This window comes from Homo sapiens, chromosome 17 (assembly GCF_000001405.40).
Source record: "Homo sapiens chromosome 17, GRCh38.p14 Primary Assembly".
NCBI classification, from domain to species: Eukaryota; Metazoa; Chordata; class Mammalia; order Primates; family Hominidae; genus Homo; species Homo sapiens.
The window spans coordinates 36,612,987-36,634,920 of NC_000017.11; the positions used below are offsets into that span (position 1 = coordinate 36,612,987).

Here is a 21,934-nt window from a genome sequence, read left to right on the forward strand (position 1 = left end):
GGAGGGAGTTGAGGGAGGAGAGGGGTTGGAATGACATTTGTAGGATCCCCCTTTGTCAGGGCTCCAAGATCCTGAGATGCCGAGATGGAAAGGGTCTAAGAAGAATTGGCAGTGACTTGGTATTCTCGGAGCAGCTAAATCAAGGCTGGCACCCCAGATCCCTGCTGCAGGCCTGGAATATTTTTTTGGCAGGAGGCTAAATTGTCAATCCCCCTCCCCCTAGGTTGGGGTCCTGAATTAGACAGCACACCTCCCACCCCCGCTTTGCCGACACACATACACACACACCACCACTACCACCACCGACTCCTGCAGGGCCAGGTGCCAGGGATCCCCACAGTTTGTAAATGTAATCAACCTTGAGGTTTCTCACTTCCACAGGTGCAATTAGCATGCCCATCTGCTAATCCCTGATTAATGGTGTTTACAAACATGGGGCTCCACTGCAGAGCCGCTCAGCCACTCCCTCCTGGGGTTTTGAGGCAGGGGTCTTCCCTGCAACCTCTCCCCACTTCTTCAGGCCTCCTCCCCAGCCAGAACCCCTCTGCCTCCCCTTCCCCAGGCAGTGAACAGAGCTAGAGGTCCCTCCTCCTCCTTCCCCGAGCTTCCTGGCCCCTTCTCAGTGTACACATGTGGAAGCGGAGAGCAGGGAAAGCAGACAGGGAGGCTTGGCGGCAAGGCCAGGATCCTACTCATCCCTGTCCCACCGACTCAGTCTACCAGTGTCTTTCTTCCCAATTCTGAACTTCAAGGATGTGTACTGGGCGCGCTGCCTTTATTCACCACTCAGCTGCAGCCCTGAGGCCACACAAACATGTCCCCCTGCAGGAGTTCTCGGTGGGTCAGAAGTCCGGTACCAAAAGCAGGATGTCAGACAGTGCCGGCTCCACATGTGGGCCCTACCTTAGGCAAGTCACTTACCCTGATTGAGCCTCAGTTTCTTAATCTGCAAAATGGAGATAAGAATACTACCTACCATGTAGGCTTAAGGTTTGTATGTGAGGATTAATGATGGGATACATGAAAAAGACTTAGCACAGTGCCCGGGACACAGTAGGTGTTCAATAAATGTGAGCTTTTCAATGCGATGATGACGATGACAATGATGACGATGATGATGAAAAGAGGCTTTTGAAGCTAAAAAAAAATGCCCAAGAACGCCTCCTCCTCCCCTCACCCTGCTCTCTGGGGGGAAGGGCAAGTCCCAGCTCATTACTGGTGGGGGCTGCGTAGGGGGAGGTGTCAGATTGGAATCACTCCTGGGTCTGTTTGCAGCTTCCCTGTTTCATTAACACCTCCCTAGTGGTCTTCAGCTCATCCTGCTGGGGGAGGTGCTCCAGAAAGTTCTAACGGCCTCCTACCCAGCCCAGAGCTCAGTGCCTCTCACTTCTGGGCCTGTGCGCCAGGTGACATAGAGGCAGTTTTATGTTGGCCGCTGACCAGAGGTTGTCACTGTCCCCCTCTCCTGAGGGTCCTGGAAACCTGGTCAGGGGACGAAGCACCTGGAGCGGATCCTTCCTTTTATCCTCTTCCCTCAACCTCTAATCCATAGGTTTTAATCCCCCATCTCCTGGGCACCCCAACATGGCCACTTTCCCTTCCTTCAGAATCCCCCTGTGAACAGGGCGCAGTCTCAGGTTCCCATCCCACCCATCTCTTGCTAGCTGGATGCCCAAGGCAAGATGCTTGTCCTCTAGGACATTTAGTTGTCTCTTCTGTAAAATGAGGATGTCATACCTCACAGGGGGTTAGCACAGTGCCCAGTAAATTGTAAACTCTCAATAATTGTAGTTATTTTATGGGCAAATAAAATATTTATTTGCTCAAATATTGTAGTTATTTTATGGGCAAAACAACTGCTCTCAAAACTATGTTCTTAAATCGCAGAACTGTATGTAGCCCATTGGGGGTGGGTGGAAGGGGAGCAGGGCCAGAGCCCTGAGGACCATTAGCACCTCCAGAGAAGCTGGAAAGGGCTCGAGCTCTGCCTCCCAGTTAATTGGCTCAGCTCCTTCCCCAGATTGGGAAAGGGAGAGGGGCTGCTCTTTGAATCAGGACCAGGAGATTTCTACCTCAGGCTCTGCAAAGGCTGCTTTGAAACAGGACTCCTCCTGACTGCACTCCAAGGATTTTTATGGAAATGCCTGTCCTTCGCCCCTGCCATGTGCCCTCTCGGTCACAGTATTCCATTTCAGAGGACACCCTTCACCAGCTGCTGTGGGCCGGGGAGGAGGGGCTGGGCCTGTCTTTCTCCTGCCCTCTCTGCAGTCTGGCCCTTCTCCCCCTTCGGGCTCCAGCTTTCTTGGTAAGGTTTGTAGGCATCAGAAGGGAGATTCCATGAGAAGCAGTACCTTTGTGGTTTATCTGCAACCTGAGAAAAAAATCCATGGGCTGGCGGGCGCGGTGGCTCATGCCTGTAATCTCAGCGCTTTGGGAGGCCGAGGTGGGCGAATCATGAGGTCAGGAGTTTGAGACCAGCCTGACCAACATGGAGAAACCCCATCTCTACTATAAATACAAAAATTAGCTGGGCATGATGGCAGGCGCCTATAATCCCAGCTACTCAGGAGGCTGAGGCAGGAGAATCCCTGGAACCCAGTAGGCGGAGGTTACGGTGAGCTGAGATCGCGCTATTGCACTCCAGCCTGGGCAACAAGAGCAAAACTCCGTCTCAAAAAAAAAAAAAAATTCATGGGCTAAACAGCTCCCCTTAGAAAGAGGAAACTAAGCCAGGCGTGGTGGCTCATGCCTGTAATCCCAGTACTTTGGGAGGCCGAGGCAGGTGGATCACCTGAGGTCAGAAGTTCAAGACCAGCCTGGTCAACATAGTGAAACTTCATCTCTACTAAAAATACAAAAATTAGCTGGGCATGGTGCATTCCTGTAATCCCAGCTACTCGGGAGGCTGAGGCAGGAGAATCACTTGAACCTGGGAGGCAGAGGTTGCAGTGAGCTGAGATCACGCCACTGCACTCCAGCCTGGGCGACAGAGTGAGACTGTCTCAAACAACAACAACAACAACAACAACAACGACAACAAAACTTTCTTGCAGGCCGCCTGCTCCCTACAACCGCAGACACATAAGCCCCTCCCGCCCTCTAGGAATATCCCTGCCCCACTTAGACCTTCAAGCAGGAATCACCCTTACTGATTTTGTATTCCCAGGTCCCACCACAGGGCCAGGCACGTGCTGGGTGTTTCACAATGATGCATGAACAAGTGAATAAGTCCTGAGGTTGGAGGCTGATTGCCTCCTCTTCCTCTTCTCTGAAGTGGGCTGGAGGGGCAGATCCCTGAGCACGCCTCCAGCCGGCCTTGACCTTCCACTTTCAAGCAGTGTCAGAGGAGGCAAGTCAGAAATCATCCCCAGCCACAGCTGGTCTTGCTTCTCTGAAACAAGGGAGCTAATTGAGGCTGAGGAGATGCTTCACAGCCTCCCTCAGCCCCTCAGCTCTGCAGAGACCCACCTGTGCCAGACTTTCCGTCGACAGCCCCTTGCATAGATACAGGTATTAGCCTGGGTCAGGCACTGTGCATGGGGCTGGATCTTGTCTGAATCAGAGCCCTGAGGCCGACACACACTCTTAACAACAGTCTCGCTTCAGTGAGTGTGCGACCTGGAAGCCGTGTGCTTGGAACAGGAGGAGGAGTGATGTGGTGATGATGATGGTACTAGCATTTGTTATGCACTTACCATGGGCTTACATGCCTCATCTTGTTTCCCTTACCATACTTTTTGTTTGTTTGTTTGTTTTCTTTTATAGACAGGGTCTTGCTCTGTTGCCCAGGCTGGAGTGCAGTGATGCAATCATAGCTCACTGCAGCCTCCAACTCCGGGCTCAAGTGATCCTCCCACCTCAGCCTCCTGAGTAGCCTCCTTAGCCACTATGCCCAGCTGATTAAAAACGTTTTTGTTGTTGTTGAGATGGGATCTCCCTATGTTGCCCAGGCTGGCCTTGAACTCCTGAGCTCAAGTGATCCTCCTGCCTCGGCCTCCCGAGTAGCTGGGATTACAGGCATGAACCACCGCCCAGGCTTTCCGAGCTACCTTGACAAGCTCTAAGTGGGACATTCCAGTGGAGGTGCTGGGAGGCACCTCCATCCAGTTTCCCACTGGCTTTAGGTGGTGTTCCAGGCTGGAAGCCCAGAAGTGACAGCTCAGAGCTACTGTGGGGTGCTGCAAAGAGCCTTGGCCCCACAGAGACTCCAGACATGGGTTCAAATCCTGGCTCTGCTCCCAGATTTGAAGGCTCAGGCCTGGGGTGAGTTTCTTAACCTCTGAGCTTAGTTTCCTCCCTGTAAGATAGAGCCAATAACTGCTTTCACCCACGGTTGTGCTGGGAGGCTTGAGAGATGATGCCCTTGGCATATGGTAGACCTTCAATAACCCTTCCTTCCTTTCCGTCTTTTTTTTTTTTTTTTTGAGACGGAATCTCGCTCTGTTACCCAGGCTGGAGTGCGGTGTCCTGATCTCTGCTCACTGCAACCTCCGCCTCCCAGGTTCAAGTGATTCTCCTGCCTCAGCCTCCCGAGTAGCTGGGATTACAGGCTCCCACCACAACCACACCTGTCTAATTTTTGTATTTTGAGTAGAGGCGGGGTTTCACCATGTTGGCCAGGCTGGTCTCGAACTCCTGACCTCAAGTGATCCACCCGCTTTGGCTTCCCAAAGTGCTGGGATTACAGTCATGAGCCACTGCGCCTGGCCAACCCTTCCTATCTTGCCTCTTCCTTCTTCTCAGCAGCCTCCCTCTGTGTCTGCCCCTTTGCCCTTCCTAGCCTGGGGTCTGGCTTCTCCTCCCCCTTCACCTCTGCCTCTGGTTTCTGATGAGCTCTGTCCTGTCTGCCTGCCCTGGCCGGGTCACTGGGGGCTCTTTGCTGTTGCTCCCTCTCTGAGGCTGTGTCCGCACACCATGCCTGGTCCTCTCCTTCCCTCTCCCCACCGGCTTCCTGTGCCCTCGGGGCTGATCGATAGCAGCCGCTGGTTATCGATTGGGGTGGGTGTTCAAGTGTGACTGCTGCAGGCTGATATTGATGGGCAGAATTGGTGCTGAGGTCCCAGTGGAGCAGCAGCTGGGCAGCCTGGGGCTTTAGGGGGAAGTGGGGTTCTCCCCCCACACTTGAGGGGACCTGGGAGTGGGAGTCCTTGAGGGGACCTGGGAGTGTGAGTCCTTAAGGGGACCTGGGAGTGGGAGTCCTTAAGGGGGCAGACACCACAATGATGAAATTTGGGGCTGGGGGCAGAGGGCCTCTAAGGACAGAACGCCAAGGCTTAGCTTAGGCTGTCATTCATCAAGTATTTATTGAGCACCTACTCTGTGCCAGCTGGGGATATAGCAGTGAGCAAGTCAGCGACAACCAATAAGTAAAATTATATAGTATGTTGTAAGAAAAGTAGAGCAGGGGAAGGGGACATAGAGCCCCGTGGTTGGGGGAGGGCACAATTTTAAACAGGGGGACTGTAAACAAAGACCTGGAGAAAGGGCAGAAGTGAGTCCCTGAGAGCATTTCAAGCAGTGGAAACTCTAAGTGCAAAGGCTTCTGGGTAGGAGTGTGCCTGGTGTGCTCTAGGCCAGCGTGGCTGGAGAGAGGTAAGGAGGGAGGACAGTGAGAGGAAATGGGACAGACGGAGAGGTCACGGAAATAGAGGCTGGGTGCCACTGGGAGCGGACAGCCCAGGGCTGGAAGCTGCCCAACTCCAACCTGCGCAGCCTCCGTACAAGGGTAGCTTCCAGAACATGGTTCCAGAGCCAACTGACCAGGTCCCAGACACTTCACCTGCTTTGTCGATGAGATCGTGTGAATTAGGTTCTATCATTACCCTGTTGTAAAGCTGGGGAGACTGAGGCTTAGAGACATTTGACAACTTGCCCCAGGCCATGTGACAGAGCTGGAACTCAAACCCAAGTCTGACTCCAGAATTGTGGCTTTTGTTGTTATTGTCTTAGCTGTTTTTAAGTGTACCAGTCAGTAGTGTTAAGTATATTCACATTGCTGTGCAACAGCTCTGCAGAGCTCTTTTGCCTTACAAAACGGAAACTCTACCCTTTAAACCGCAGCTCCCCATCCACCACCCAGCCCTTGGCAAACACCATTCTCTGTTCTGTTTCTATGAATTGGATGACTTTAGATACCCCATAGAGTGGAATCATACAGCATTTGTCTTTTTGTGACTGGCTTATTTTAGCATCATGTCTTCAAGGTTTGTCCATATTGTGGCATGTGACAGAATTTCCTTCCTTTTTAAGACTGAATAATATTTCATTGTCTGTGTACACCACATTTTGTTTATCCATCCATCCATCGATGGGCACCTGGGTTGCTTCTGCCTCTTGGCTTTTTTGAATAATGCTGCTAGGAACATGGGTGTGCAAATATCGCTTCAAGACCCTGCCTTGGGCCAGGTGCAGTGGCTCATGCCTGTAATCCTAGCACTTTGGAAGGCCAAGGTGGATGGATAACTTGAGGTCAGGGGTTCAAGACCAGCCTGGCCAACATGGCAAAACCCCATCTCTACTAAAAATACAAAAATTAGCCAGGTGTGGTAGCGCATGCCTGTAATCCCAGCTACTTGGAAAGCTGAGGCAGGAGAATTGCTTGAACCTAGGAGGCGGAGGTTGCAGTGAGCCAAGATCGCACCACTGCACTCTAGCCTGGGCGACAGAGTGAGTCTCAAAAAGAAAAAAAAAAAAAGACGCTGCCTTCAGTTCTTTCGAATATATACCCAGAAGTGGGATTGCTGATCCGATTATAATTCTATTTTTAATTTTGTGAGGAATTGCATACTGTTTTCCATAGAAGCTGCACCATTTTACACTGCCCCCAAGAGTGCTCAAGGGTTCCAGTTTCTCCACATCCTCAATAAGACTGTTTATTTTCTGTCTTTCTGATGGTGGCCATCATAATGGATGCGAGGCGGCATCTCCTTGTGGTTTTGATTTACGTTTTTCCGGTCATTTGTGATGTCGGGCATCTTTTCATAGGCTTGCTGGCCACTTGTGTGTCGTCTTTGGAGAAATGTCCATTCGTGCTCTTTGTTCATTTTTACATCAGGTTGTTTACTTTTTTGCTATTGAGTTGTAGGAGTTCCTTATATATTCTGAATATTAACCTCTTATCAGTTATAAGATTTGCTAGTATTCTCTCCCATTGTGTAGGTGGCCTTTTCACTCTGCGGGTTGTATTCCTGGATGCACAGTTTACATTTTGATGTAATCCTATTTTTCTACTTCTGCTTTTGTTACCTGTGCTTTTGATGTCATAAGAAATCATTGCCAAACCACTCCTTTATGCTGTCAATAATTCTGCCTTTGGGTGGGTGGGAGGGAATGGTCAGGGACTATTGCAACAGTTGAGGGAATGATGACGTGTTTAGCCAGGAGCATGGAAGCCCCCAGGTGGTGGGAAGGCAGTGATTGTGGTATTCCAGTTACAGAGGGGCTTTCGTGGAGCAGAGTGATGACCCAGAAGGCAGAAACAGGACCAGTAGGAGGCCCAGGGAGGCAAAAAGCAGCTCAATCTAGCAAGATTCCAGAAGTGGAAGAGGATACCTTGGAGGTAGTGAGCTCCCTGTCACTAGAGTTGTGCGAGACCTCAGTTGATCACTCAGAATATTTCACAGGGGCTTCAGACAGAAGATATGTTTGGGGTTGATGGCCTCTGATCCCTTCTATGATTCCATAAGGAAGGAGGGAGCTCAAAGGTTCAGCCAGCAGGGTGGGATGGACGGGGCTGCAGCTGATAGGTATGCCCTCCTCTGTGCCTGGGGAAGTCTTGTGCTTTGAAGCCTAGCTGTGCAGGAGATTCCCTTAAGTTGCCATCACCCTGGAGCCTGAACCCAAGCCCTGGCCCAACCCATCCATAGGTCTTGGAGACCTGGACTGGAAGAGAGGAAGAGAGACTAAGATGTGCCTCCATCGCCTGCCAGGTGCTGCTTGCAGGCAGAACGGAAGAAACAGACTTTAGAATCTGGTGGACCTTGGTTCAGTTGCTGCCTCAGCCATTGGCTGAGTGGCTTTGGGCAATTTCTTTAATGTCTCTGATCCTAATTTTCTTCATCTGGGAGCAAGGGGTTGTCACCTCTCTTGTGGGGTTTCCTGCAGAATAACAATAACAGGGGCCTGGAGCCTGGCAGGTGCTCAGTTAACTGCACTGATCAGAATTAAGCTCCTTACAATTTTCCTTTTAGCACCCTTGGAAGCCAAGGACCCAAGCCAGCCACACCCCCAACATACCCCATCCTGTGACTGCTCCCCATGGCTTGGTCCCTGCCAGCCTCATAACCTGGATGAACCTCAGCCTTTTATCTCCTACTGAGGGCTGGGAGTGCAGACTCCGCATCTAGAACCCAACAGGGCCACAGTATACACCCAAGCCAGCTCAGGGCCCCTCTCTTGTTCTGACAGGTGGGGCTAAGTGACGGCCTGACACTGACATCCTGCCTGTCTGTCTATCCTCTGCCTCTTCCTGTCCCTGTAGCTGCTGACCCTGGTGTTTCCCCACTCCCGGCTTCCCAGTCCCTCTCAGCCCTGCACCTTGTGCCCCTGCTCACTTCCTTGCACATTGCACCCAGAGATCCCCCCACAACCACCAGCCCAGCCCATTGTGGAGAAAAAATCAAATCTCATTAAAGGCCATCGATTTTCTTCCAAATTTGCTGTGAGTACACTTTGAGGCTCTTCTGTATTCCTGCCTGCTCCCACCTCAGCCCCTCAACTACCCCTGCAGCTACGCCGGGGAAACAGGGGTGTCAGGGTTGGCAGGTGGCATGGAGGGCAAGGGGGCCCCCAGCCCCCCTTGGCCCTTCAATGTGGCAAGACCCTGGGTATGTCACTGATTTCTGGGGAGGGAGTATTTCCCCGTCTGTCTATCCCCGTCTTCCTACAGGGCTTGGGCTGTGTGTTGCATTGTGTATCTGTCTGTGTGTCAGTTTGTGTTTTGTGTGTATCTCTGTGGTGTGTCTCTGTGCATCTGTGTCTTTCCATTTCTGCATCTGTGCATCTGCCTCTGTGTGTACAGGTGTGTTTGCGTGACTGCAGGGGGCATGGGGGGCTGGGCTTGCAGTTGAACTCTGGATGCTCTGCTGCCCATGAGATAGCCAGCCTGGGGAAGGGGCTTGACTTGGGATAAACCCAAGATATGATTCTCCTCCACCAGGGGCCAGAGGCTGGGCTGGGATCTGAAAAGGGCACAGGCTTCCCTGCTGCCTCCTGCCCCCTCCTGTCCCTATGGAAATGGGACACCCTGCTGATTTCCTTGCGATGTTAGATTTGGGGTTTTGGGGGCTGGTGGAAGAGACTTCAGACTGGGCGTGGTGGCTCACACCTGTAATCCCAGTACTTTGGGAGGCCGAGGTGTGTGGATCACCTGAGGTCAGAAGTTCAAGACCAGCCTGGGCAACATGGTGAAACCCCATCTCTACTAAAAATACAAAAATTAGCTGGGCATGGTGGTGCGCACCTGTAATCCCAGCTACTCAGGAGGCTGAGACAGGATAATCACTTGAACCCAGGAGGCAGAGGTTGCAGTGAGCTGAGATCAAGCCACTGGACTCTAGCCTGGGCAACAGAGCAAGACTCCGTCTCAAAAAAAAAAAAAAAAAATTCAAACCTCATATGGGGGCATCATTTCAAACCTGATGTCGGATTCCTTCATCCCCTAATCTGAACTAAAGGGTCCCAGGTGGGGGACAGTTAGAGTTGGATGGACATATACTTGCCTGGTGAGTCTGGAGAGAGCGGACTAAGAGAGAAGGCTGGGCAGTGGCGGTGCCCTGCAGGGGTATGGCATGAGGGCATTCATGTCTGCCTGGGTCATGCTCCTGGGGTAATGTCAAACATCAAGGTCAGCCTTGACAGGGACAAAAAAAAGTCACAGAAGGGGCCCTTTGGCCTTTGTTGGGTGGGGAGGCTTGTGATCTGGTTGTAGGCCGAGCCTCTTCCCTCTAGCCCATTCGCTAGGCGCAGAGGTCAGCTGCGATCCTGAATTGGCCCTCCAAGCCCTGGGACACTGCCCCACGCCCCAGGGTGGGCATCTTGATGGAGCCCCTACTGATATGGGGCACGGGGTATGTTCCCAGTTGTGTGCCCTCAATGAAGTATCACTGCCGCCTTTTGCCCCAGCCCTGCACAGGCGTGTCATGTGAGTTCATGGCTGTGCATGTGTGTTCTCCCTGCAGCCTCTGCCGGGGAGCTGGAAGCAGCCCTTCGGATTCCAGGGACAGGCCAGATTTATGATACTGGGAGAAATATTTAGGCCTGAGACAGTTTGGTTGTGTTAATTATGGAAATCTAAAGATAATCTATATTTAATGCTGAATTTTGTCAAATTTGCTAAAGAATTAGGGGAGCGTGTGCAAACAGTGACACTTCAATGAAGAACAAGGTGCAATTAAACTCTGAAATTTACAGTGGAATAATTGGAAAGCATGACAAATATAGTTATCAGCAGCAACTAATTAGGGGTGTGCTCGAGGTTTCTGGGCTTGATTAATCTCGCCTGGATGCTAATAAGTTATGTAGGGCAGATGATAACTGGTTTGTCTCCTCCTTCCTTCTACCCTCTCTCCAAAGCACTTGAGGGGTAAGAATGTGACCCATTCAGTTCATCCCTCTGTGCAGCCCAGCCTGAAGGGGAGGGTGGGGGCACTCCAGCTCCTATGCTGGGACCCCTGCCCAGGTAGGGATGATGTGAACACCTTGCGCTGCCCCTGCTCAGGCATCCTGGGGGCTCCCTGGTTGGTAAGTTCTTCTTGGTGTCTCACTTGAGGCTTGTTGGGATTGGGGGAGAGTGGCTTGGAGCCTGTGTTGGGGTCTCGCTGAGCCTCAGTGGGCCAGATTCATTCCCTTGCTGTTGATGTAGCTGTCTGACTCCCACCTCTGCTTCCACTTCATGCCCGGTGGGAAGGGGCACTGGAAGCCCCCGCTCGGACCTGCAATAGATCCCATGCACCGTCTTCCTTGGCTGGGCACTTCCGTCCCTCTCCCCTCCCAGGATTCTGCTAATCTTCCTCACTGCTGATTGTGGCCAAGCCTTGGATTCATTGATTAAAGTTTAGGCTGGAGCTGATGCTATTACCCTGCTGGAGTGTGGCCAGCACCCTGGGCACCACCGCCAAGTCCAGCTGTGAAACAAGCACCGCCACCTCCCTTTCTCTGTCTCTCACCCTGTCTCTGATTCTGTGTCCAGTCTCTCCCCTGTCCTGGAGCCTCCCTCAGACCTGCTGCCCTTGTCACCCTTCAGGGGCCTACCTGGTATGACCAGCTGACGGGGGAGAGGTGATCACCTTCCCAAGAACTCTACCTTCTGCCATCCACCCCTTCCTCAGAAGTCCTCCTGACTGTCAGCTGCCCCACCTGGGGTCCCCCAAGGCAGCTCTGTGCATAGACCCCACCCTGAGCACCCCTTGCCATCTCCAGCCACTTGCTCAGTGTCATTGGCCACAGGATGGAGACTCTGATTGACAGTCTCAGATGAGGCTGATGAATCCAAAATGGGACGTTAGATGAACTTCTTCTTTGTGAATGTCATCAGTACAACCGGGTCTCTCAAAGCATGAGCATCCATGAGCACGCATGTCATAGGAGGCCGGTGTCTGCTGTGACTGGTGGAGGGGATGCTGGATAGGACAGGGGCCTTCAGCGTCTCCTTCAGAGATGAGGGGTGTGGCTTCTTTGAGGCCTGCTTCTCTTCTTGCTTTTGGGATGAGGAGCTTTGGGGTCAGACACACCCAGACTTGTGTCCCGGCCCTGGGGGTCCTGGGCTCTTCTTTTCCCAGGTCTCGTTTTCCTTCTTGTAGCATAGGGATAATTCCTTCACAGTGAGGAGCGCAGGAAACGGCTAGGAACTGAGCAGGCTCTGAGTACATGGGCACCCTCCCCTCCCCACTCCTGCTCCTTCCAGCTCCCCACCCCTCCACCCTTCAGGTGGACTTGCACACTGTTTTAATCAATGCTAGGATGCTGACGTGAAGGAAGCTGGGGTGGGAACCAGAGCCCAGAGCTTCACCTCACCCCAAAGCTGCTTGAGTCAGGGAACCCACCTAGCTTGAAGTCTGGTGTGTAAAGGTAAGAAAAAGGCTTTGTAAAGTCTCCAGCGAGGTCAGAAGTGCTGCTCTTGTTAGTGAGTAACAATGTGCTGGAGGAGTGAGTTCCAGTAGGCTCCTCACCTCTGCTCTCTCTCCACCTGATATGCCTAAAATGTAAATCCTATCATGGCCTACCCCTGCTCAGAAACCTTCAATAACTCCCTATTGCCTCCACGATAAAGTACAGAGCATAATGGTCAACACTGTCCACAGTTGGCCCCAGTCTGGTTGTTTCTTCTTCTTTCTTCTCCTTCTCCTTCTCCTTCGCCTTCTTCTTCTTCCTCTTCCTCTTCTTTTTCTTCTTCCTCTTCGCTCTTCGTCTTCTTTCTTCCTCTTCCTCTTCTCCTCCTCCTCCTCCTTCTCCTTTTCTTCTTCTTCTCCTCCTCCTCCTTTTTTTTTTTTTTTTTTTTGAGAAAGAGTCTTACTCTGTCCAGGCTAGAGTGCAGTGACAAGATCTCGGCTCACTGCAAACTCCGCCTCCTGGGTTCAAATGATTCTCCTGCCTCAGCCTCCCGAGTAGCTGGGATTACAAGTGCCCACGACCACGCCTGGCTAATTTTTGTATTTTTAGTAGAGTTGGGGTTTCGCCATGTGGGTCAGGCTGGTCTTGAACTCCTGACCTCAAATGATCTGCCTGCCTTGGCCTCCCAAAGTGCTGGGATTACAGGTGTGAGCCACTGCACCCGGCCCCTTTTGGGCTTCTTGAAGTCCCTTTGCTGTACCCACCCAAATGATGCCCTGTTCCCCAAACTCCCACAACACCTGACAATCTGTAGGCTTTTATTGGATCAATTTCCATTTTCTGACATGCTTTCCCTCCCACTCCCTCCCCACAGCCACTTTCTGGGAGGCCCAGCTCAAATCTCATCACCCCCTAAAGCCTCCCCTGATGCTCCTAGTTCCTCCAGCCATGCCCCCCCGCCGACCCCCCAACCTGAATTCCCTCTGGTTGCACAGCTGTTCCTTGCGTCTGTGTCAGGTGCGTCCACCAGAGGGCGACAGACACTGCGGGCACAAGCAAAATGGCCCCAGGATTGGCTGCGTTTCCCCTCCCCGCCCCCGGACCCATCCTGCCTCTGCTATGCTGTCCCCTGGACTTCCAGCCTGGCATCCTCACCGCTGGACTTCAGGGCTGGAGGACTTGGGGACAGTGCATGTTGTGTCCCTTTTCTGCAGAGCTGCCATCCCTGAAGATTTGGGTGAAATGACAGAGCCAGCTGCTCTTGTTTGTGTAGTGCGTGAGTTTCCCAGTCACTGTTGACGTTCTGGGTCCCCAGGGCAGGGTTGAGTGGCTTTTTTTGTTTGTTTTGAGATGGAGTCTACCTCTGTTGCCAGGCTGGAGTGCAGTGGCGTGATCTCGGCTCACTGCAAACTCCACCTCCCGTGTTCAGGTGATTCTCTTGCCTCAGCCTCCTGACTAGCTGTGATTACAGGCGCCCACTACCACACCTGGCTAATTTTTGTATTTTCAGTAGAGATGGGTTTCACCATGTTGACAGGCTGATCTCGAACTCCTGACCTCAAGTGATCCGCCTGCCTCAGCCTCCCAAAGTGCTGGGATTAGAGGTGTGAGCTACTGCACCCAACTGAGTTGGCTCATTTTACAGATGGGGAAGCACACCTTGATCATGGCTCTGTCTTTCAGAGACTGGAAAGTCACAGGTGCAGAATGCTCTGGACAGACTAAGGCTTAGAGCAAATTTGCTGAGGGTGACGTGGCCTGTAAGGGGAAGGGTTGACACTCGAACCCAGGCCTTTCTGACTGCCGGGTGAGTGTGTTTTTCTCCACATCAGTTTTTCTGATTATTCAAGATGTAGGTTTAATTCTGTCATTGTCACAGCCCTGACTCTGAGGCAAATGTAAATGGTGCCCCAGGCCTCAGACCCCAGCCCCCAAATCCCCACATGCTGCGCATCTGCGGACAGTCTGAGCCACAGCTTTCTGTGAAATGGTCAGGTGATGCGTAGCCTCTTCCTCACAGGGTTATTGTAGGACAGAATGAGATGATGCCCGCAGAGACCCCTGTGCTCCAGGATGGACCCCCTGCGAACCTGGGCTGGGACATTTCCCCAGGGGCTCTTAGTCTGTCTCTTGGGGGCTGGGACGGGGAATGCAAACACCTGCAGGTCTCCTTCAGCCCCTTTTGGGGGAAAGAAAAGAGACCTGGGGTCTCCTTCCTCAGGATTCTCCAGCCCTTGCAGCTGCTGGAAGTGAGCGGGCTCCGTCACCATGGCAACGTGGCCCAGCCGCCTGCAGGGCCAGTCCTGTGCCAGCCGCCGTTGACCTCACTTAGGATGATTACCTTTCGGCAAATAAAATAATTGTGTTAATAAAGAGGCTGTTCGCCTCTCATTCCCCATCCCGCTTTGCCTGTTTCCCATCCCTATCCGGTGGAAAGAGGATTCTCTCCACCTGGTTACCCCTGGCCTGTGGGATGCCTTACTCTTAAATTGTTGACGAGACCCTGACTGGGTTATAATCTTGGCCAATATTAATCGTGTCCCACCATTCCCTTCTTGCCTTCTGCCTCCTTGCCCTGGTGTCTCTTTTGAAGTTGTACAATTGAGATTATACTACTCATCCTGTCTTCTTTGGACACTGTTTTTTTTTTTTTTTTTTTTTTTTGAGACCAGCTTGGTCACTGAAGCTGGAGTGCAGTGGTGCAATCTTGGCTCACACAACCTGCGCCTCCTGGATTCAAGCAATTCTCCTGCCTCAGCCTCCCGAGTAGCTGGGATTACAGGCACACGCCACCACGCCCAGCTGATTTTTTTGTATTTTTAGTAGAGATAGGGTATCGCCATGTTGGCCAGGCTGGTCTTGAAATCCTGACCTCAAGTGATCTGCCCACCTCAGCCTCTCAAAGTGTTGGGATTACAGGTGTGAGCCACTGCGCCCAGCCTGGACATATTTTTGAACATCAACAGGGCCTCCCTAGCTGTTATAGTAATAAGTTCTATTTTTTGAGGGCCTACTGTGTTTTATACTCTTTATGAATGCCTTTGCAAATGCCCTCTCTCTAATCCCTTTAACAATTGTGCAAGTCAGGAGCTTCAATACCATTTTACTGAGAGAGAAAATGTGTATGTATATATTTTGAGTCTGGGTCCCCCTATGTTGCTCAGGCTGGTCTCAAACTCCTGGCCTCAAGCAATCCTCTGGCCTTGGCCTCTCAAAGTGCTAGGATTATAGGCACGAGCCACTGCACCTGGCCAAAATGTATGTTTTGGCAGGGCTAGAAACATGTGTTGGTTCAGCTCCTGGATTGCAGAACAGGCTTCTCTAACTGTGCCTGGGAACATTCAGTTCAGCTGCAGGCAGATACACACTTGCCATGGGCTCAAAACTGGGCTGGGCTTCCGGAGGGGAAGAAGAGAGAAACAGAGACCCTAGGAAGCTCCGAGTCATGGATCAGGTGGGTGGGAGTAGATGGATATAACCATGGAAAATGGACATGCAGGATGCAGTGTGAGATGCAAGGTGCAGTGTGGCCAGTGCTCCGAGACCAAGAGAATGATGGAGACCCTGTGCCAGGTGCTGCAGAAGCGGACCCCCAGAGAGACACTGACTCAGCGATGGAGGCCCTGAGAGAGATGAGGAGGATGAGACTGGCAGTTACTGAGCCTCTGATAAGCAGCTGACACTTTGCTGAGTGCTTCAAACTTGTTATTTCACACAATGCTCATCACAACCCCATTTTACAGATGGGGAAAGTAAGGCTTAGAAATTTCAAGTGAATTTCTCAAGGTTACACAGCTCATGTAGAGCCAGGATTCAAACCCAGATCAGCCTGACCTCCCTGCCTGGACTTAGTGGTCTTTTGACTCCATCAGGCTGATCAAGGATGGAGAGAGAGAGAGAGGAGAGTGAGTGAGAGAGAGAAAGAGAGAGAGAGAGACCCATGAAACAGATTGAGCAAGGCATGGAGTGCAGGCTTCATGCACACGGTGGGGCCTCTTCTGGGTCTGACAATGCCTTAGCCCCTGTTCTTTGAGGCTCTTGTTTAAGATTTGCCAAAAAGAGGTCACCCAAATTATGGCCGATTTAGAAAGTTTACTTTTCACCAGTGCACACAAAATAGTGCAAAGAGATTAGGCTCTTCGAAAGGTCATTTTAAGCCTTTCAAATAGTGACAGGGCCCTGCAGGCAGTGTCATCCTACATTCTCACACTGCAAGGGGACTGCCCTCGCTGGATTCTAGGGTCTCTCCCATGACTGGAGGAAAAGTGTCATCTGGACACTATGTCAGAAGTCTAGATTTGGCGCCCTCTGTGAGTCTGAGGGCGTCTCCCCTTCTGCACCCGGCCACCCCCATGAGAGGTCCTGCCAAGTGGGTGAGCTGCGGCGGCAGGCAGGGGTGCAGTGCCCATCATTCACACTAGATGGCGCTCTGACATTGGACAATCCTCTGAGCATGTGGCTGCCTAGTGGCCAGAGGGCAGGGCTGGATGGCTTTGAGGGGAGGCTGGTCTCACTGGACCTGACACCCCGACCTAGGGTAGGCCAAGGGGCGCCGGAGATGTCAGAAGCCAGGCTGGGGACCAGGAACTCTGCTCCTCCACCCGTGACTCCTGGTCATTCTTGGGTCGGGGCTGAAAGCGGGGCAGTGGGAGGAGCAGAGGGACCAGAGGGCAGCTGGAGGGGAGGGATGGGGTGGGGGGGGGCACATCAGCAGGCCCTGGTGGGGCAGCCCGGCACCCCTCAGCCAGTTAAGGGCCTGGGGAAGGTTGTCCTCTCATTGACCACTAAAGCCTAGGGCTGTAGACCTGGGGTCTCCCAGGAGTGGTTTGGCCATCTGCCTTGCCCTTGGACAAGGGGGCTGGGTAAGAGGCATGGGGGCTTGTTTACAATGCCTGCAGCTGGTAGGAAAGGAAGCCTTGGCAGATGTGACTGAAGGATCAGCTTTGCTTGGAGAGCAAGACCCAGGCACAGGACCTAAAGGCCTCAGGTTTGTGTCCCTGTTTAGGCATGTGACCTTGGGCAAGCCACTAAGACCTCTGCTTCCTAATCGTTTCTGCTTTCAGAGTTGGGAACCTTGAATGAGATCATGCACACAAAGGCACTCAGCACACCAAATGCAGGGCATCCCTCCTGTCCTGCCAGTTTGCGGAAGTGGCATCTTGCATTATTTCCCTGCCTGCAGGCCCAGTAAACACTCAGTGCTGTTGAGTGATTGGTGCCTGGGGGTGGAGGCAGCTGGAATTGGCAGTGTTCCAAAAGGGGCCTCCAAACCTTGTACTTGGGGGAGTATCCTTGAGAGACCCCGTCCTCAGATGTCCACATTTTCCCTGTTTGGAAATGCATGCCTTGGAGCTGGGCCTGACTGCTCCGCTTGCCCGCTCTTTGTCTCGTCCGTTGTCTGGGGCTCTGCGGGATCTAGAGAGAAAGAAAGGAAATCCCCAGCACTTGCTTGTGGGACAAGAAAGCAGAGGGGTGGGCTTTTCAGGGGACCTCTTCTCCAGCAGTCTGCTTGCCTACTTCCCTCACATCTGGTGCCAGGGGCGGAAACTGAGGCAAGGGAGAACCTTAAGGACAAACTACAAATCCCTGAATGCTAATAGGGATAGGAGAGTGAGGTGGTGAATTGACTTCCCGGTCCCATTGCAGGGACTGAGGGGGTCTGTAACCCTCGACTCCTGGGGGAGAGGTCTCGAATGGTTCGCTAGAGACATTCGAGGAGTTAGGAGATGGGCAGGGAAAGGTCTGGGAGGAGGAAGTTGAGGGTAAGGGCATTGGGGGCAGATTTATTTGGTTAACAAATGTTCCACAAACGCTCAGTGAGAACCTCATGTGGGCTAGGCACTGGTCTAGGTGCTGGGACTCGGGGGCCCAGGTGAATAAGCTTCCCGTCCTGGGCGAGTTTCCTGGAGTAAAAATCAGGCTGGCTGGGGCTTAACTCTATGTGGCTGCCCCATATCATCTAACACCTCTAAGTCCCAGTTTCATCATCTGTAAGATGGGAATAATAACAATGTCTCCCCCACGGGATGACCATGAATGTTAGATGCATGGAAGGTGCTTAGCACCCAGCTCCTGCATTTAACAAACGTGAACGGAGGTGGAGTTTGTCAGTATTATTGTGATCAAAGCTCTGGAGACTGTGACCTTGAGCAGATTGCTCACCCTCTTTGAACCTTGGGTTCCTTATCTGAGAAATGGGTTCATGACATCTGCCCTGCCTGTTACCACGGGACCCTGTTGTTAAACCAACTGAGATAATGCATGGGAGCACAGGGGATCTGTAAACTACATCACACACAGAGGGGAATGGTCCATTTAAATGATTTGGGGTACACATGTGTGCATGTATTTGTGCACATGTGTGCATGTGTGCACCACTATCAGAGACCCCAGCATTTGTGCTCCATCTTTCCTGCGGGTTTGTGTCCCTGTTTAGGCATGTGACCTTGGGCAAGTCACTAAGACCTCTGCTTCCTTTTGTGAAAGGGGCTAATCATGTCTGCTTTCAGAGTTGGGAACCTTGAATGAGATCACACACACAAAGGCACTCAGCACACCAAACGCGGGGCATCCCTCCTGTCCTGCCAGTTTGCAGGCCGTCTGAGCTCAGGTAAGCTGTCAGATGGATGGATATATGGTATCCTGGCAGTTCATGTTAGGAGTCTGTCCCTGGAGCCCTGGGGCTGGAACTGAGGTGCTGGCAGAGGTGTGGAGATGAGGGCCAGGCTGAGAGTTGCAGCATTTCTCCAAAGACCTTAGGGAAGTGAAGAAATAAATCTTTCTCAGAGATGGAGATGGGATCAACCCTTCCCCCTACCTCAACTCTGGGCTGGGCAAGGTTGTCTGCAGAGGTTGGGGGTCCTTGCTCCCCTCTTCCAACATCCTCTTCTCCATGCACCTCTCCACAACTGACCCCTTTCCTGTTAGTCTTAATTCCTGCTGCCAAGCTACAGAACAACCCAGGGAAAAATAACCACACCTGGGTAATTTTTGTGTTTTTAGTAGAGACGGAGTTTTGCTATGTTGGCCAGGCTGGTCTCGAACTCTTGACCTCAGGTGATCCGCCCGCCTTGGCCTCTCAAAGTGCTGGGATTACAGCTCCACACCTGGCCTGTTCTAGAGGTTTTTGATGTGCCCCTCCTGGCTCCTGGTACCTGCTTACCTGCATGAATACTTGTTAGTGCCCAGGGCTCCCCAGCCCCATCTCCCCAACCAGCTGACTGAGGGGTGGAGCCAGGCAGGGTGCAGCTTGGGCCTGAGGATGAAGAAGCAAAGAGCCAGGAGAGCCAGCTCCCGGCCATATACCCATTTCTAACCTCTCTTCCCCAGGAAAGGGGCAGTAGGAAGCAGTGTGGTGGAGTGGAAAGAGAGTGGGTGTTGGACTTGGCCAGGCTGGGTTCAAATCCTCACTAGCTGGGGGTGTCTGGGGCAAGATGGGATGGTAAGAGGACCTAGCCTGTGGGGTGGGCATGCAACCTTCATGGGATAATCTGTGTCAGGTGCCTCCAACTGTGAGTCCAAGCCTGTCCAAGTCTCAGTTAACGAGGATTTGGGCAATTTTGTGCTCCCCCCCACTGCCATCTCCCCACCCCAATTCTTTCTCAGCTCATTGATTGATTGATTGGGTGAAAGGATCATGGAGAGGATGCCATCCAGTTGGAGATATGGTGTGAGCTGAAAATCCCAGAGTAAATGTCCTTTCCAGGACAGCAGAGACGAAAAGAGCTTTTCTGGCTGGGAGATTCCAAGAAGGCTTTGTGAAGAAGGAGCAGCATTAACCCGAGTTTCTCAGTGGGCTCAGACTTACAGGTGGAGAAGGGAAGGGGATGCGGTGGGAGGAATGGCATGGGCAAAGGCCTTCAGTGAGAAAGCTGGGCACACAGCCGTAAAATGGCTGTGAATAGGCTGCTTTCCTAGAGCAAAGGGTAAGTGCGGTAAAACGGAAAGGGCGTTGTTCCCAATTCCTGGATTATTAAAACAAAAGCGGGATATATTGGGAAAAGAGTAGGAGGCTGAATTATTTGGATAATTACAAAACTGTTCCCTTGAATCCCCGATTTGCTTTGCTCCCTGTGGGTGGCTTGCCTCCTTTCTCCTTCACCGCGGGGATCACAGGCTTCAGAAACCCTGAGGGGAATGTCCCCAGAGAAGAGCCCCTCCCGTCTCCCCTTCTCCCTCAGGTCGTCACTTTGCCTCCTTAACCCCACTCCCACTCCTCAAAGGAAGAAGGTGGTGTTGGAGGAAGACTGGAGGGGGAGCCCCCTATCTGAGGTCCCCAGACTGTCTTCAGAGAAAGGGAGGAGCAGCCTCAGCTTGGCGTCTGGGGCCCTGTTTCATCCTTGGGTCCGTGAGGGAAGAGGATTCTGCTCCCTGCCAGAAACATTCCTGTAGAGTATTTGCATTACATCCGGCTCACACCCTCTTCCTTCGAAGAACAGATACCAGGAGATGGTGTTTGGGCAGGGGGATGGAGGAAGGAGGGAGAGAGGAGAGGGAGGAGGGGACGAAGAGGAAGAGGAAGAAGACGACAAAGAGGAGAAGAGGAGGAGGAAGAGGAAGAAGAGAAGGGGAGGAGGAAGAGGAGGAAAGAGCAGGAAAAGGAGGAGGAGGAGGAAGGGGAGAAGGAGGAGGGGAGGAGAGGGAGGAGGCGTAGGCAGCCAGCTGTCAGAGCTGCTTATTTTATTTTTCTTGCTCCTGGAGCAGGCTGGCAGAGCAGTCCCCGATAGCAGCAGGAATGAAGAACATGGGCCGAAGGAGGAGATAATTTAGGCCTGTTTCCCTGGCTGATTCCGCTGTGCCTCCTTCTATCTCTCTGCCTCTGATTCTCTCCTCCTCTGTCTCTCTCATGGTCTCTGAAGGAGATGAATTCCAGGTGACTCTCCGGGCTCCACTGTGCTTCCTGGGAGCTGCGCGCTGGGGGTGATGTTTGTCCCTTCTCACTGTAGACTGAGCTTGGGATTTCTCAGCCCCCAGTTACTTAGATGTGGCTTTGGTCCTCTTTGGGGCCCTAGGGTGGGTGGGGAGCCCACATTTTCTCTCTCCCCCATTCTTCTAGAGCCCAGCCAGCCTCCATGGGCCACCAACTACATCCTCCATGGAGAATCTTCAAAGCTCTAGAGCCCCTATTCCCAAACCATTTCCTGTCTTTTTTATTACATGGACTTACTCCAAAAAGGAGCGAAAGAACTTGTACATGTTTCCATTCTGATCAGTTCTTTCTGGATTTTCCGGGCATTTTTGTTACCAGGTGTCTGAAAGATCCTGAGTGCTATGAACTGGCTTTCACATCTGCGACCTGCTGTAGCCCTCCCACAACACTGGGCCCAGGGGTGTTGATTTTCTTTTACAAATGGGGCAACTAAGGCATGTTAACAGCTGAGCCTAGGTTTGAACCTGGTTCCCCCTGTGCTGGTGCAGAGCTGTTTCCCCTGGGATATATGTCTCCAGTGTCACTGCCCTTCCACTGGGTTTCCTGCTTTTACCTAACATCGACTCACACGGTCATTTTCGGGGTGGCAGGGCCTCCTGTCTTGTCGTTTTAATGGCCACATGGCATTCCATCATGTTGATGGATCATTTTGTTTGGTCACTCCCTCATCGTTGGATATGTGTGAGGTGTCTAATTTCTTGCTATAATAAATGCAACTGCTGTATTTTGTTCAAATTACTGTTGTTATCTTCATCCCCTGTATGTTCCACGAGTACGTTCAGGAATGGAAACCAGGACTCTTTGTCTCAACAGGGTCTGGGGTGGTGGTCAGTACCTAGCGTACTGACCCAGAACATGATCAAAGCAGGGATGGGTGGCAGCCACCTCTTGGGGCTGCCTTGGATTCACCTCCAGCCAGAAGAAGCTACAATGCCCCCTTTAGGGGCTGGCACATTG

General features: G+C 52.2%; 1 protein-coding gene across 4 annotated transcripts in view, besides 1 other annotated feature; it reads left to right on the top strand.

Moving 5' to 3' along the window:
• Positions 1 to 21,712, top strand: part of MRM1 (mitochondrial rRNA methyltransferase 1) — a 33,116-nt gene extending 11,404 nt beyond the window's left edge. The window contains exons 5-7 of one of the 4 annotated variants that reach the window (XR_934554.2): positions 18,558 to 18,658; positions 19,654 to 20,435; positions 20,752 to 21,712. Coding sequence is in view for 2 of the 4 variants with exons in the window: in XM_011525275.3 (XP_011523577.1) it covers positions 18,558 to 18,652 (95 nt within the window). In the remaining 2 variants the exon portion in view is untranslated. Of the gene's footprint in view, positions 1 to 18,557; positions 18,659 to 19,653 lie in introns of all 4 variants that reach the window. The other 3 variants (XR_007065467.1, XM_011525275.3, XM_011525276.4) reach the window with 3 other exon arrangements.
• Positions 13,818 to 14,318: an enhancer, noted in NCBI's record as "H3K4me1 hESC enhancer chr17:34983260-34983760 (GRCh37/hg19 assembly coordinates)". NCBI's record gives its function as "activates a minimal SCP1, AML or CMV promoter by ChIP-STARR-seq in primed H9 embryonic stem cells {active_cell/tissue: H9 hESC(primed)}" and the evidence as "EXISTENCE:reporter gene assay evidence [ECO:0000049][PMID:30033119]".
• Positions 21,713 to 21,934: the final 222 nt, after the last annotated feature.